Source organism: Homo sapiens, chromosome 4, assembly GCF_000001405.40.
Source record: "Homo sapiens chromosome 4, GRCh38.p14 Primary Assembly".
Lineage (NCBI taxonomy): Eukaryota > Metazoa > Chordata > Mammalia > Primates > Hominidae > Homo > Homo sapiens.
Window position 1 is genome coordinate 8,426,227 of NC_000004.12, and position 15,538 is coordinate 8,441,764.

General features: G+C 48.1%; 2 protein-coding genes across 39 annotated transcripts in view, besides 8 other annotated features; one reads left to right on the top strand and one right to left on the bottom strand.

Moving 5' to 3' along the window:
* The window catches only part of ACOX3 (acyl-CoA oxidase 3, pristanoyl), an 85,419-nt gene extending 70,922 nt beyond the window's left edge, over positions 1-14,497 (bottom strand). For 12 of the 23 annotated variants that reach the window (XR_007057970.1, XR_007057968.1, XR_007057971.1 and 9 more), the window contains exon 1: positions 2,125-2,222. The gene's annotated coding sequence lies outside the window, so the exon portion shown is untranslated. Of the gene's footprint in view, positions 1-2,080; positions 5,218-9,696; positions 9,742-14,421 lie in introns of those variants that run through there. The other 11 variants (XR_007057969.1, NM_001375784.1, XM_047416231.1 and 8 more) reach the window with 5 other exon arrangements.
* Positions 2,036-2,265: a silencer, noted in NCBI's record as "silent region_15263". NCBI's record gives its function as "represses an Ori minimal core promoter by ATAC-STARR-seq in GM12878 lymphoblastoid cells {active_cell/tissue: GM12878}" and the evidence as "EXISTENCE:reporter gene assay evidence [ECO:0000049][PMID:35858748]".
* Positions 9,261-9,600: an enhancer, noted in NCBI's record as "active region_21293". NCBI's record gives its function as "activates an Ori minimal core promoter by ATAC-STARR-seq in GM12878 lymphoblastoid cells {active_cell/tissue: GM12878}" and the evidence as "EXISTENCE:reporter gene assay evidence [ECO:0000049][PMID:35858748]".
* Positions 9,901-10,080: an enhancer, noted in NCBI's record as "active region_21294". NCBI's record gives its function as "activates an Ori minimal core promoter by ATAC-STARR-seq in GM12878 lymphoblastoid cells {active_cell/tissue: GM12878}" and the evidence as "EXISTENCE:reporter gene assay evidence [ECO:0000049][PMID:35858748]".
* Positions 14,385-14,624: an enhancer, noted in NCBI's record as "active region_21295". NCBI's record gives its function as "activates an Ori minimal core promoter by ATAC-STARR-seq in GM12878 lymphoblastoid cells {active_cell/tissue: GM12878}" and the evidence as "EXISTENCE:reporter gene assay evidence [ECO:0000049][PMID:35858748]".
* Positions 14,385-15,176: a biological region, named in NCBI's record as "H3K27ac hESC enhancer GRCh37_chr4:8442396-8443129".
* Positions 14,443-15,176: an enhancer, noted in NCBI's record as "H3K27ac hESC enhancer chr4:8442396-8443129 (GRCh37/hg19 assembly coordinates)". NCBI's record gives its function as "activates a minimal SCP1, AML or CMV promoter by ChIP-STARR-seq in naive H9 embryonic stem cells {active_cell/tissue: H9 hESC(naive)}" and the evidence as "EXISTENCE:reporter gene assay evidence [ECO:0000049][PMID:30033119]".
* Positions 14,551-15,538, top strand: part of TRMT44 (tRNA methyltransferase 44 homolog) — a 76,174-nt gene continuing 75,186 nt past the window's right edge. For all 16 annotated transcript variants that reach the window (XM_047449685.1, XM_047449681.1, XM_047449679.1 and 13 more), the window contains exon 1: positions 14,551-15,215. In XM_047449685.1, coding sequence (XP_047305641.1) covers positions 14,597-15,215 — 619 coding nt within the window. In that variant the 5' untranslated portion in view covers positions 14,551-14,596. The remainder of the gene's footprint in view (positions 15,216-15,538) is intronic.
* Positions 14,645-14,854: a silencer, noted in NCBI's record as "silent region_15264". NCBI's record gives its function as "represses an Ori minimal core promoter by ATAC-STARR-seq in GM12878 lymphoblastoid cells {active_cell/tissue: GM12878}" and the evidence as "EXISTENCE:reporter gene assay evidence [ECO:0000049][PMID:35858748]".
* Positions 14,905-14,964: a silencer, noted in NCBI's record as "silent region_15265". NCBI's record gives its function as "represses an Ori minimal core promoter by ATAC-STARR-seq in GM12878 lymphoblastoid cells {active_cell/tissue: GM12878}" and the evidence as "EXISTENCE:reporter gene assay evidence [ECO:0000049][PMID:35858748]".

A 15,538-nucleotide genomic window follows, 5' to 3' on the forward strand; every position in this document is an offset into this window, starting at 1 on the left:
CACCCTGGTAACATGGTATTAGTCAAGTCCCTTCCCTCTAAGTCCCCACCCCTAGATACATACTGGGAAGGACCCTACCCAGTCATTTTATCTACCCTGAGTGCAGTTAAAGTGTCTGGAGTGGAGTCTTAGACACATCAAACCCTGGATACCGCCAAAGGAACCCAAAAATTCAGGAGACAACGCTAGCTATTCCTGTGAACCTCTAGAGGATCTGCACCTGCTCTTCAAGCGACAACTGCGAGGAAAGTAACTGGAATCGTAGAGCTCCATGGCCCCCCCCGTCATATTTTTCTCTTTACTGTTGTCTTACCCCCCTTTCACTATCACCTCACCCCCTCCATGCCGCTATACTACCAGTAGCTCCCCTTACCAAGAGCTTCTATGGAGAATGCGGCTTCCCAGAAATATTGATGCCCCATTGTATAGGAGTTTTTCTAAAGGAAACCCCACTTTCACCATCCACACCCATATGCCCCTGCACTTCGGGCCACACATTTCAATCCCTGTATCTTTAACCTCCTTGTTAAGTTTGTCTCTTCCAGAATCAAAGCTGTGAAACTACAAATGTTCTTCAAATGGAGCCCCAGATGCAGTCCATGACTAAGATCTACCGTGGACCCCTGGACTGGCCTGCTAGCCCATGCTCCGATGTTGATGACATCGAAGGCACCACTCCCGAGGAAATCTCAACTGCATGACCTCTACTACGCCCCAATTCAGCAGGAAGCAGTTACAGCGGTCATCGGCCAACCTCCCCAACAGCACTTGGGTTTTCCTGTTGAGAGGGGGTACTAAGAGACAGGACTAGCTGGACTTCCTAGGCCGACTAAGAATTCCTAAGCCTAGCTGGGGAAGGTGACCACACCCACCTTTAAACATGGGGCTTGTAACTCAGCTCACACCAGACCAATCAGGTAGTAAAGAGAGCTCACTAAAATACCAATGAGGCTAAAAACAGGTGGTAAAGAAATAATCAGATCATCTGTCGCCTGAGAGCACAGGGGGAGGGACAATGATCAGGATATAAACCCAGGCATTCAAGCCGAATCGGGCAACCCTCTTTGGGTCCCCTCCCGTTGCATGGGAGCTCTGTTTTCACGATATTAAATCTTGCAACTGCACACTTTTCTGGTCCATGTTTGTTCCGGTTTGAGCTGAGCTTTTGCTTGCCATCCACCACTGCTGATGGCTGCTGTCGCAGACGCCCCGCTGACTTCCACCCCCCTCCAGATCCAGCAGGGTGTCCACTGCGCTTCTGATCCAGCGAGGCACCGGTTGCTGCTCCCGGGCTAGAGACTCGCCATTGTTCCCGCACAGCTAAGTGCCTGGGTTCATCCTAATTGAGGTGAACACTAGTCGCTGGGTTCCACAGTTCTCTTCCGTGACCCACAGCTTCTAATAGAGCTATAACACTCACCGCATGGCCCAAGGTTCCATTCCTTGGAATCCATGAGGCCAAGAACCCCAGGTCAGAGAGCAAGAGCCTTGCTGCCATTGGGACCGGCCTGCCACCACCCTGGGAGCAAAGACCGGCCAGTAACAATGCCTTGCTAGGGCCCAGTGTCTAGACAAGGTCTACTGTCTGGGCTGCTGCATTCCAAATACGGCGACACCTGGCTAGTGCCCAGGGTCTACTGTCTAGGCTGCTGCATTCCAAATATGGTGATGTCTGCCTAGTGCCCAGGGTCTACTGTCTGAGGCTACTGTCATCCAAATACAGTGACGCCTGCCTAGTGCCCAGGGTCTACCGTCTAGGCTTCTGTCATTCACATGAGACGCTTGGAGCAGTTTCTGGCAAGGAAGTGGGGCTTCAAGATCACTATTCTGGCAACAGCTGCCTCCAGTCTTCTCTGCGATGTGAATCACTTCCCTTTCGTGAACAGCTGCCTAGTTCAATGTGTAAAGTCCTCCGAATGCCCAGCACGTGGGCCACCGGCCCTCCTGGCCCCTGCTCTGGGTAACCCTGGCCCCCCCGCCCGCGAATCCTCACAGCCCCCACACCCCCGGGCCTGGCACTTTCAGTGCCCCCGCTCCCGCCCCGTCGCGTCCGCGCCCCTGGCGCTAACGCAGCCTCCACCTTCGGGCTCCCCGGTCCTCGCTGCTCTGCACCGTCCAACTCACCCAGCAGGCGCTCAGGGGATGCCTGTCGGCCCGCGACCGACTCGGAGTACTGGGACTAGCTGCCCGCACAGCGCAGCTGTCTCTGGCCTGGCCCCACTGCTCCCCCGCCACGCCTCTCGGCCTCCGTCCGTCCCATGGGCGGGGCGGAGCCGCGGGCGCCCTGACGTCATCGAACCGCGCCACCCTCGTTGCCCTGGAAACGCGGACGCCGCTGCCACCCGGGCGGGCTGGAAGCCACGAAGCTTCGCCAGGCGCTCCCGGGCACTCTTGCCTTCTCTGCTTTTAGGCAAGGCCTGGCTGACCGACTCTGGCGAGTCGCTGCCCTCTCGGAGCGCCGTAGTTCTGAGATGCAGTTCACACCGCGGCCCTTCTTGGGGCCCACTCCAAGGCTACTGGATCAGGACCCCCAGTCTGGGGCCGGGCATTTTCAAATTAATCAGCAGGCTCTAGGTGGTGGCTCATGCCTGTAATCCCAGCGCTTTCGGAGGCCGAGGCAGGAGGATCGCTTGAGGCCAGGAGTTTGAGACCAGCCTGGGCAACATAGTAAGACCCGGCATGCCCAAGAGCTTGCTGAAGTTTGAGAACCGTGGTTCTGCAGAGTTTCTCAGAGAGCCCCTAGTGGAAGTGGGCCCTCATTGACCAGAGCAGCAACCAGCTCAATCACCCACCCTTTACTTGTTTTTCTTTGTCTCACACTTTCCACTTCCTCACTCGTGCACTCCGAGATCAGCTCCATTTTCAATTACCTGCACCCAAAGCCTCGTCTCAAGGTCTGTTTGGGGAGATCCAAACTAAGACACACACACTTCTTATGAAATTTACAGAGACAGTGTTGTACCTGAGCGAGTTAGAGAAAACGCCACTCTTTGAGACGAATTAAGAGTGCATTTATTTAGCCAGCGGCCAAGAGACAGCTAACGCTTAAAGTTCTCTCGGCCCCGAAGAAGGGACTAGATTTTCTTTTATACTTTGGTTTAGAAAGGGGAGGGGAGTCTAGTTAAAACAATTTTACAGAAATAAAGTAGGCAAAAAAGTTAAAAGGATAAATGGTTACAGGAAAGTAAACAGTTCCAGGTGCAGGGGCTTTAAGACTATTACAAGGTGATAGACGCGGGGCTTTGGGCGTTATCAATCAGACGAATTCCTGGGAATTGCGGATATTGCTCGCCACAGTATCTTATCAGTTAATTGTATTCTTGGATGTGCTGGGAGTCAGCTTGCACAAGTTAAGTCCTTGAGGAAGGGGCTGCCAGTGAAAGAGCGAAGATGGAGTCTGTCTGGCTCTCTTAGCGAAGGGAGAGTTAATTCAGGTGGAAACAAGGCTAGGTGATTAAAGGAAAAGGGAGAGTCTAAAAACAGGGTTAGTAAAAACAAGGTTGGGCATTACAACAGAATCAACTAGACTTAGCAATTTGCCATGTAAAGAACAAGGAAGAGCCAGGCGTTGTGCGCCATGGTTCTCTCATCTGCAGTCCCAACTACTCGTGAGGCTGAGGCGGGAGAATCACTTGAGCCCAGGAGTTTGAGTCTAGCCTGGGCAACATAGTGAGACTCTGCATTAAAAAAAAAAAAGTGAAAAAAGCACAAGGAAAACTAAATCCAAAGGTTTGCATTTATAGGGAACTAAAAGATGGGCAGTGCAGCTCAGTTATGGGGAGGAGAAAGAGAAGTACAATTTTAAATGTGTATCAAGTTTAAGATGTTGGTAGGACATCTGGGTGGGGATACTCAGGTCATGTTTGGAAATTCTGTCTACTTCTGTTCTACTCTGAAATACCTTCTCCTTGATTCCATGGCAACATTTTTCTTCACAGTTATTACTGTTATTTAAACAGACATATAATTATGGGTATCAGTGGGAGCGTCCGATTGCAAAAGCAGAAGGAAGGGACTGAAAGATCATTTCGGGCCTGGCAGGTACCCTGCTAAGCAGTCGGAAGTGATCCTTAGTCTAGACTAGCCTTCCCAGCCAGGGGTCTATTGTGTTTTTGCAAAGGTCCCTGAATCCCCAGGAGCAACAAGGATTGCCTGAAGACAAAGCAATCATGGTCTAATAAAAAATACACACCACTGTTTTTCAAATGTTTGGAGATACTGTTGAGAGTAATAAAATAACCATTTATTGCAGAACTCACACCTCCTTTAGGTCACAATTTCTGCCAAAATTACAACTACTAATCAATTGGGTTCACATGTGTTACTGACATTAGAAAAACATCTTTCGGCTGGGTGTGGTGGCTCACACCTATAATCTTAGCACTTTGGGAGGTCGAGGTGGGCAGATCACTTGAGGTCAGGAGTTTGAGACCAGCCTGGCCAACATGGTGAAACCCCATCTCTACTAAAAATACAAAAATTAGCTGGGCATGGTGGCGGGCGCCTGTAATCCCAGCTACTTGGGAGGCTGAGGCAAGAGAATCGCCTGAACGCAGGAGGTAGAGGTTGCAGTGAGCCAAGGTAGCACCATTGCACTCCAGCCTGGGTGACAAGAGTGAAACTCCATCTCAAAAAATAAAAATAAAAATATCTTCCCACTGGGAAATGATTTGGGTCCATTGCAGGAGTGAGAGGGAGAGGGAAGCCATTTCTAGGTAGACATTGGAAGGCAGGCTAAAGGGGAAGAGCTCAGGGCATCTGGTGGCCAGTACAGGTAAAAGACAAGGGCCTGAGATAAGGCCATCTTGGTGGAGCTGGAGGGTGGAGAGGGAGCTGAGTGGCTTTTTATTGTTGGTTCTATTTAAGTTAGGGCATCATCACAAAATGACATGGAGAAAACAAAGCACAGGTTTCCAGCCTTGGCCAGGTCCTCAGGCTCCCCTCCCTTCTCTGCCTGTCCCTTTTCACCCTCCTCTTTTCACACTTGTCTTCCTCTACCCTCTGGCTTGTCAGGGCTGGCCTGTAGCAAGTTTTGGCCCCCTGACTTCACTCTCTCCATTTAGTTTCCCAGATTGGCATCTGCAGGTCAGACTGTAGTTCTCAGCTTTGACCGTGGCTTCACCTCGGGGCCACCTTCTGGCATTTGCCTGCTCACGCTGTAGCACTCTCCATCCACCGTGCTCCCCTCCTGGGCCTGAGGACACTGCTGACCTGCATCTGACAGGGAACACGGGCCTCTCTGTGAGTCAGGGTGGTGGGGAGGTAGGAAGAGAGGAAGGGGTCGTGCTACACTCTGTTGTATTTGGGACCTGGGTGGATGGAGATGCCACTGGGACTGACACCAAGGGAGCAAATTTGGGGAAAAAAATAAGGGAATTTGGCTTTATACATGTTTGTTAGCTATTTCTGGGTGAAACCACCAGGAGCTGCACGTGGACCCCTAGTGTGAACAGTAGGGGTGGGGTGAGTGTCATCAGTAACTCAGTGGACAATGACCCACGGGAGCACTGCCATAGGGCCTCACCCACCCCCTCTCTTGTTTATCTTGACTTCTGTCCCACTTCTGCTCCCTTCGGCACACCGATTCCCTGCTCAGTTTTAGACCTTGGTGCTATTGACTGTCATTGGCCATTGTTGTTATGTGCACACATTGTTAAAGCTAAAGTTGCCTCCCACCCTCCGGTCATTTGTCTCCATTTATCCCTTCTGTCTTTCCCACCACCACCTCCTTGGCTGGTTCTGCATTCCCAGAAGAGTGGCTGGAAGAAGTCACCAGGTCCTTGGGAAGGGAATGGGTTCTGATGATTCGGCACCAAGAATGATCCATCACAGCTCAGCCACAGTCGTCACCACCACCCAGCAGCCACCTCACTTCCCCTAGTCACATCACATTAAGTGGTAGGCAGCTGAAAACGGTGTTGGGAAAGAGTTGTGGAACATAAATGTGGTTTTGTACAAGATGCACAAACAAATGGCTGTCCCTATGGCAAATGTTACTGGCTTGAGCCAATGAATTTTTTTTTTCGAGATGGAGTCTCGCTCTGTTGCCCAGACTGGAGTGCAGTGGTGCCATCTCGGCTCACTGCAAGCTCTGCCTCCCGGGTTCAAGCCATTCTCCTGCCTTAGCCTCCCGAGTAGCTGGGACTACAGGCGCCCACCACCACGCCCGGCTAATTTTTTGTATTTTTAGTAGAGACAGGTTTTCACTGTGTTAGCCAGGATAGTCTCGATCTCCTGACCTTGTGATCCACCCACCTCGGCCTCCCAATGTGCTGGGATTACAGGCGTGAGCCACCGCGCCCGGCCTGATTTTTTTTTTTAATTATAAACCCAACATATTGAATTTAACGGGTTTCTATGCTGTTAAGGTCTTGGCATCAGATGAGTTTCTGGCTGAGGCCCTGGAAGGTAATGGGGGCTGCTGTGAAGTGGCTGGAGCCATCATTCTGATCAGCACAACAGGGCTGCCACTCAGGGCGCTCAGAGCAGCCAGGGACTTCCGGTTGGAGCCTCCACTGCTGCTTCTCGAGTTCCACCCAGCTTCCAGCACTTAGACGCTGACAACTCAGAATGGAGGGGCTTTAAGGGTCCCAGGTGAGTGTCTCTAGTGCTGCATTGTTCAACAGTAGCCCCTAGCCTCATGTGGCTACTTAAATGTGCAGCAGTTAAATACATTCAATTTCCCATAAATCTAATTTAAATCAGTTCCCTAGTTGCACTAGCTGCACTCAAGTGTGGGTCAGTAGCCAAAAGTAACTACGGTATTGGACAGTGCAGACATAGAACATTGCCATTATCACAGAAAGTCCTACAGGACAGTGCTATGTAGACACTATTTCCAGCCCCAGGCAGTGGGTCAGATCCTTGACCTAAGCCTGGATATCTCCAGCTTTCTCCCTGCTCCCTGGACCCAGCAGCCTCTGGCTGGGGCCTGCTTCCCCAAAGGGAAACAGTCTGAGATAGTTCTGCCATCTGCACCATTCTCCTGACACGCTCCCTAATCTCAGTGACTGTTTCATTCAGCAGTTATTCACTATGAGATTATACTGGATTAGGGTTGGCCCTAATCCAATATGAATGTTGCCCTTATTAGAAGAAGAAAAGAGATCTGGAGAAACAAGAACACCACGTAACCACGGAGGCAGAGATTGAAGTGCTGGAGGCACAGGTCAAGGAATGCCAATGATTGCTGGCAACCACTACAAACTAGGAGAGATGAATGGATTCTCAGAGCCTTTAGAACTATGAGAGAATAAATGCGTGTTGTTTTAAGCCACCAAACTTACGGTAATTTGTTATGGAAGCCCTGGAAAACTAAGATAGCATAAAAATCAATTACTGTATGTGATCAAACACTGAATGGGCTAGGGTGAGCCAGTGTGTCTGGGAGGATACGTCTCATTTGCCTTTTACTTAATTCTACCAACATTTGGTCTGTGCTTTTATCTCTAATAAATCACATGATTTGAGTTAGTTTTCACTTTTCTTACTCCGACAGAGATCCTTTAGGGAATGGCAAAATCCCAATGGAGGGATTAATGTACAAAAGTAATTAAGAATATTGGAGGTTTTTGGATTTTACTAGAGATTCTGCAGACCAGCTGCTGATAATGTTGGGCTAAATTGGCAGTATCCAACCTTCTCTGTTCCTCCTGGGGACATGTAGTAAGGAAGGAGACCACTACTACTGCTGCCCTCCTACCCCCAAACTTGCCTAGTTCATAAGACAGGAGGAAAGAGAGAAAGCAAAAAGTTAGAAAGAAACAAAAGTAAGATAAATAGCCAGACAACCTTGGCACCACCACGTGGCCCTAGGAGTTAAAATAATAATAATAATAATAATAACATCAACCCCTGACCTAAACTACTTGTGTTATCTTTAAATTCCAGACATTGTATGAAAAAGCATTGCAAAACTTTCTGTTCTGTTAGCTGATCCATGTAGCCCCCAGTCACGTTTCCCACACTTGCTCGATTTATCACGACCCTTTCACATGGACCCCTTAAAGTTGTAAGCCTTTAAACAGGCCAAGAATTTCTTTTTCGGGGGGCTCCGCTCTTAAGCCACAAGTCTGCCAGTGCTTCCGGCCGAATAAACCTCTTTCTTCTTTAATCCGGTGTCTGAGGAGTTTTGTCTGCAGCTCGTCCTGCTACATTTCTTGGTTCCCTGACTGAGAAGCGAGGTGATTAAGGGACGTTCAAGCCAGCCCCTTAGGCAGCTTATGCCTGCCCTGTAGAGCATCCCTGTGGGGGGCTCCAGCCAGCTTGCGCGATGCAGATCCTGAGAGTGCTCCCGGGTAGGCATTTGCCCCCGTGGAATGCCTCGTCAGAGTGGTGCATGGCAAGCCCCCGTGGAGGATCAACGCAGTGGCTGAACACTGGGAAGGAACTAGCACTTTAAGTCTGGACATTTGAAACTTGGTAAGACTGGTCTTTGGAACTTGCACACTCCATTTGAGTGGAAGCGTGGCCTGATCACCCATGGCGTGCCTGTACCGGCACTTTGGTTTTTGTTTTTGACTTGACTTGAAATGCTTGATACTTTGGTTTTTGTTTTTGACTTGACTTGAATTACTTGATAAACAGGCGTGCCTTTATTGGCACTTTGGCTTTGGTTCTGATTTTGACTTGGCTTAAATTCCTTGACAAACAGGTGTGCCTTTAATGACACTTTGGTTTTAGTTTTGATTTTCCTTTAGTGTGAATTAGACGAGTGAGTAACCTTTTACCCTTTCCTTCTTGTAGTGTGAATGTTGTTTTGTCTCAAGAGAAAAATAGGTCAAACACAAAGTAAGCCCACTCCGCTAGAAACTGTGTTAAAAAAAAATTTCAAGAAGAAAAATAAAAGGAAAGTCATCTAATCATCAAAACTTACTCTATTAAAATGCATGTTACAGAACCTTAAGAAAGGTTTTGCAGGGGATTACAGAGGTTAAGCCCCCAGAGGTTAAGAACTCTATGTGAATTAGAATTGCCCTCTTTTGCTGGGCGCGGTGGCTCACGCCTATAATCCCAGCACTTTGGGAGGCCGAGGCGGGCAGATCACGAGGTCAGGAGATTGAGACCATCCTGACTAATAGGGTGAAACCCCATCTCTACTAAAAATACAAAAACAAAAAATTAGCCAGGCGTGCTGGCGGGCACCTGTAGTCCCAGCTACTCAAGAGGCTGAGGCAGGAGAATTGCATGAACCTGGCAGGCGGAGCTTGCAGTGAGTGGAGATTGTGCCACTGCACTCCAGCCTGGGCAACAGAGCGAGACTCCGTCTCAAAAAAAAGAAAAAAAAAAAAGAATTGCCCTCTTTTGGTGTTGGATGGCCCACCGAAGGAACTACAGACAGGGAACAATTGGCCATGTATTTAAGGTGGTGACAGGGGTTGGAGGACAGCCAGTGGACCTAGATCAATTCCTTTATATTGATTCATGGTTAAATATAATATAGACAAAAACCAGCATAAATTTAGCCCTGTTTAACAGCTTATTGCAAAAAAGCCAAAAGTGAAAGTAAGAACAGCTGCACCAGCAGACACAGAGTTGAAAAGGGGAGTCCCAGAAAGAGCAAGAGAAGCCAGTTTTGCAGGAGCCGCCAGAGATAACAGAAATTCTTTCTCCATATGGCCCAGCCTACCCCCCTTTACCGAGGCCAACAGCCCCCTGAGAAACGAGATTAAGGAGCTAACATGCCCCAGGTCTCACCTTGAAGGGGAAGATCGGAGCCTCAAGAGGCCAAGGAAGGAAGTCAAGATAGTCAAGTGGGCCCTCTCAGATCTGGTCTTGCTGGAGCTATGCAAATGCCTCTCAGGGAGACACGAGGACCTGTCTATTATAATGACCAAGCCCACATCCAGGGGGTGGGGCAACAGACTTTCATCTATCAGCCCTTTTTAACCATTGATCTACTAAACTGGAAACACCCTGAACCCGCCACCTTGTTCCCAGCAGCTAGAGCCCTGTCGAGCATTAACTGTGTAGAGGTGTTGGACTCAAGTTTACTCTAGCAGACCTGACCTCCGAGACCAGCCTTGGGCATCAGTAGACTGGGAGCTATACATGGACGGGAGCAGCTTCATCAACCCACAAGGAGAGAGATGTGCAGGATATGCAGTGATAACCCTGGACACTGTCGTTAAGCTGAGCTCATTGCTTTAATTCAGGCCTTAGAACTCAGTGAAGGTAAGACTAAACATTTACACTGACTCTCAGTATGCCTGTTTAACCCTCCAACTGCATGGAGAATTATATTTAAAAAAGGGCCTGTTAAGATCTAGGAAAAAGGGGAAAAAAGACCCAGAGAATGCAACTCAGCTTCAGCATTTGCAGCAGTACTAAGAGGCACTTCTGCAGAGGCTAAGAGGTAGTAGAAAAAAAGCAATTAATATAAAAAAGATTTCAGAAGTGCTTCAAGGAGCTGACAAGAGCCTAAGTCAGTTTTATAAGAGACTCTGTAAAGCATTCTGGCTTTACATCCTATTTAACCCTGAGGCTGGTGGCTCACGCCTATAATCCCAGCCCTTTGGAAGGCCGAGGTGGGCAGATCAAGAGGTCAGGAGATCGAGACCATCCTGGCTAACATGGTGAAACCCTGTCTCTACTAAAAAAAAAAAAACACAAAAAAATTAGCTGGGCGTGGTGGCGGGTAGCTGTAGTCCCAGCTACTCGGGAGGCTGAGGCAGGAGAATTGTGTGAACCTGGGAGGTGGAGTTTGCAGTGAGCCGAGATCACACCACTGCACTCCAGCCTTGGCAACAGAGCGAGACTCCATCTCAAAAAAAAAAAAAAAATCAGCATATATATATATTCGAAAAAATATATATAAATATATATATACAAATATATGTAAATATATAGAAATATATACACGTAAATATATATATTTACATATATATGTAAAAAAATATATGTAAATATATATATAAATATATATATAGTGAATACTTCGTTTGTAAAGCAAGCCCAGGGTAACATCAAGCAGAAGCTACAGGCATGAATATCACCCAGTCTATAAAAGTGGCCACCAAGGCGTATGTTAGCTGTGACCAAGGAACAAAACAGGAAAGAGCAAAAGCAACAAGTGCGGCAGCTAGGCACGCCAAGGGTTAAATTCCTCTCCCCGGCTCAGCTCTATCTAGAAAAAAAGAGGAGGCTAGAGACCGGTGCCAAGAGAAGAGCAAAACAAAAAGAAAGACTCACAGTAAGTGTAAAAAAGAGAATCAGAAGAAAATGGGAGAGACAGCAGTGCGCGGGGGCAGGGCCTGTGCCACTGCCTGGCCCCGCCAGGTGGCCATAGAAGCAGGAGAACTCAGGAAGGAAAAAGAAAAACAAAGACTTAAGGAAAAAGGCCAATCTGTTAGCAACAGCTCTTATAAAAAGAGAGATTAGCAATGCGAGAGGACGTGGACACGGATGTAGACGTGGAAGAAGTCAAGTTAGGCAAGGATTCGAGAGCCGGCCAAGGCTAGAGAGACATTAATGTGTGAGATGAAAAAAGAAAGGACACTAGAAGGGTGAATGTTCAGAAGGCAATAAAAGAAATGGCCAAGGCTGCAAGACAAAGAGGCCATTGGCCAAGGGCTGCCGCACCTTGGAGGAACCAAATACTGATCTGATCAGGCTGGCAGGAGCTAAAGAATGTAAAGACTAGGGCAGACTAGGCACCTTCTTATTAGGCTCCCAGGAGCCCATTGTCACATTAGAAGTTAAAAGCAGCAGGATTCTGCCATATCTGGATTCCAATTTCTCACTGATGGCTAAGCCACTAGATAGAGTTACAAAGGGGGGAAAGAAAAAGAACCCCTCCTCTAAGAAACTTAAACAGGAAAAAGAGCCATACCTTGTGAAAACTTGCTTATAGACTTTACAGAACTGCCTCATGCTGGAGGCTATCGGTACATGCTAGTGCTTGTTTGCACCTTTCCAGGGTAAGTTAAAGTTTTCCCCACCAGGACAGAAAAAGTACAAGAAGTGACTAAAGTATTGTTAAAAGACATTATCCCCAGGTTTAGACTGCCTCTAACTTTAAAGTCAGACAATAGGCCAGCATTTGTAGCTGAAATAGGGCAGGATTTAACAAGACTGTTAAAAATAAAATGGAAGTTACACACAGCCTATTGGCTGCAAAGTTCAAGAAAAAGTGGAGTGCATGAACTGGACACTCGAGCAGCTACTGAAAAAAATATTGCCAGGAAATTCATTTAAGATAAAATCAGGCTTTTGCCTATGGTCCTCCTTCAAGTCAGCTGCACCCTCACCAAACAAACTAGGTATTTACCCTATAAGATTTTGTTCGGTCGGCCACCCCCAAATCACAGGTCAAATTAAAGGTGACCTCCAAGAACTAAAGGAATTAACCTTAAGAAAGCAAATGCAGATTTTAGAAATAGCCATACAAAGTGTTTATAATTAAATACATAAAAATGCCTATAAGCCTGACACCCCTTTAAATCTAGTGACTCTGTTTAAGTTAAAAAGTAAAATCTAATTTTTCTAGGACCCATATAGGATGGGCCTTATACTGTAATCTTTTCCACTCCCACTGCTGTTAAAAGTTGCAGGTGTTGTGTCTTAGATCCATCACAGTCAGCTAACACTGGCAGCTCAGGACAAGTAGACCAGCCAGCAGGACACAGATCTTCCTACCCGGCTGATTCGGAGACGAGACCAAGCTGTTGCTGAGGACGACAGCCCTGCTCTGGTCACTCCGGAGGCTGACCAGTCTACACACGGCTGAAGCTTGAAGAAACAACAAGCCCGGCTCTAGTCACGCACTGGCAGCTGAATAGTCTACGCATGGCCGAAGCTTGAGGACTTGTCAAGCAAGTAAACGTAGTTAAAAATCTTAAGACTAATAGTTTTCCTGTAATACTGTTTTCCTATTGTTCTGTCACTGTATTCAATCTTTTTCCCAGGTAAGGACCTCTTTTGTCCTTGCTGGATACAAATATGCTGTATATTGTTTTGTTATTGTTACCCCCCATAACCATGCTAGAAGAAACACCTATATAAGGTGTCCCCATTGTACACATACTACTTAGTCAGGAAACCCAGACCCGTCCAGCCCAGCAACAATTCCGAGTCTTTAAGTCATTCTTTAAACACATAAACCAGAAGTTACAAGAGCCTCCTCCTTTAGCAAAACAAACAAACAACCTATTTGCTCAGCTGGCTGAAAACATTGCCAGCAGCCTAGACGTTTCTTCATGTTATGTTTATAAAAAGGCTAACATGAGAGACCAATGGCCTTGAGAAGCAAAAGATTTAATGCCTCAAGATTACTTTAACTCTTTCCCCAAGCAGATGCCAAGTTCAAGCATTTGGCTCTTAAAAACTCCTATTATTAAGAAATACTGTGTTGCTTGCTAGGAAAAAAGCTTTTAAGACCCAGTAAAAAAACTAACCTGCTTAGGACATGACAAAGTTGGCACATGTGCCTGTACTGGTTTAACACAGGTTTGATCCTAGGTCTTTATTTAAAAGATAGTTTCCAGCTATAAGAGAATTTAAAACCCTCACTGCAAGTGTATTACATAAAACACTATCACTCTGTCTCCCAAAGAGACTCAAAGTAAAAATAAAAGCGAGAACTCCCACTAATTTGTGAAAATTCTCAAAGGAAGGGATAAGGAGACCACTACTACTCCTGCTGCCCTCCTCCCTGCCACCTTGCCTAGTTCATAAGACAGGAGGAAAAGAGAGAAAGCAAAAAGTTAGAAAGAAACAAAAGTCAGATAAATAGCCAGACAACCTTGGCACCACCACGTGGCCCTAGGAGTTAAAAAAAATAATAATAATAACATCAACCCCCGACCTAAACTACTTGTGTTATCTGTAAATTCCAGACATTGTATGAAAAAAGCATTGCAAAACTTTCTGTTCTGTTAGCTGATTCATGTAGCCCCCAGTCACGTTTCCCATGCTTGCTCAATTTATCACGACCCTTTCACGTGGACCCTTAAAGTCGTAAGCCTTTAAACAGGCCAAGAATTTCTTTTTTGGGGAGCTCAGCTCTTAAGACGCAAGTCTGCCGATGCTCCCGGCCGAATAAACCTCTTTCTTCTTTAATCCGGTGTCTGAGGAGTTTTGTCTGTGGCTTGTCCTGCTACAGTAGGTGACAGATGACTTTCATCCCTCATGGGACAACGTTACATCATTCTTATGAAACAGCCATGGCTGCACTCAGACTTAGGAAGGCACTGGCTGTAATGCCAGCACTAAAAGCAAACCAGAACCCAAGTGGAGAAAAGTTAGCTTTCATAAGAGGACTCATCTTTTACGTTCACAAACTTAGGCTCCCTGACTTTTATCGGTAATCAGTACTGAGGACAATGCGTTCCACACCCGCTGGCTGGCTGATGTTTGATTCTGTAACTATACCACGCCCAGAATTCTCTCAAAAGGGAATAAAACACAGGTCAAATTCCTCACCCACACACTCCACAGTTCAACCCCTGCCAGGGAAACCAAAAGCAGGAAAGGATCTCCAGCGGCGCCATTCTCATTTCCGGTCCCAGCACCCCGCCTCCATGACGTCAACGCGCCGCGCCACCGGGCTGCGTCATCTCGGCGCGCCGCTGCCAGGGCTGTACACCTGCTGGCTGCCATGGCTGAGGTGGGCCGTACCGGGATCAGCTACCCAGGCGCGCTTCTCCCACAGGGCTTCTGGGCTGCGGTCGAAGTGTGGCTGGAGAGGCCGCAGGTGGCAAACAAACGGCTTTGCGGCGCCCGCCTGGAGGCCCGCTGGAGCGCCGCCCTGCCCTGCGCGGAGGCCCGCGGCCCCGGGACTAGCGCAGGCTCGGAGCAGAAGGAGCGGGGTCCGGGACCCGGCCAGGGTTCCCCCGGAGGGGGCCCGGGTCCCAGGTCGCTATCAGGACCCGAGCAGGGCACGGCATGTTGCGAACTTGAGGAGGCCCAGGGCCAGTGCCAGCAAGAGGAGGCACAGAGGGAAGCCGCCTCAGTGCCCCTGAGGGACTCCGGGCACCCCGGCCATGCTGAAGGAAGGGAGGGCGACTTCCCCGCCGCAGATCTGGATTCGCTTTGGGAGGATTTCTCCCAAAGTCTCGCCCGTGGCAATTCGGAGTTGCTGGCCTTCCTCACCAGCTCCGGGGCGGGATCGCAGCCAGAGGCGCAGCGTGAGCTCGACGTGGTTCTCAGAACCGTCATCCCGAAAACTAGCCCACATTGCCCCCTTACAACTCCCAGGAGGGAAATAGTCGTGCAAGGTAAGAGTGTTTTGATAGTGGACGGATATGATTAGATAAAAAAGCATTCATAGAACCTCGGGTCAATGAAAAAGTCCTAAGGGTACTAGTTCCTCTGCGATGTCCTAGGGAGGTTGTTAGGTGTTTCATAGTTTTTTGAGTGGGCGCATAGAAATGTGTGTCCTTAGTACAGAAGATGGGATAATTGATTGGGGTGGTGTCTGGAAGGCTTCAAAGAGACAGTGAAGGACTAGCTGGATATTGCGTAATACCTAGGAGTTTAGCAGGTAAAGCTGTAGGTGTAAAAGTGTTGGGGACCAGCCTCAACACCACCCGTAGGGTAC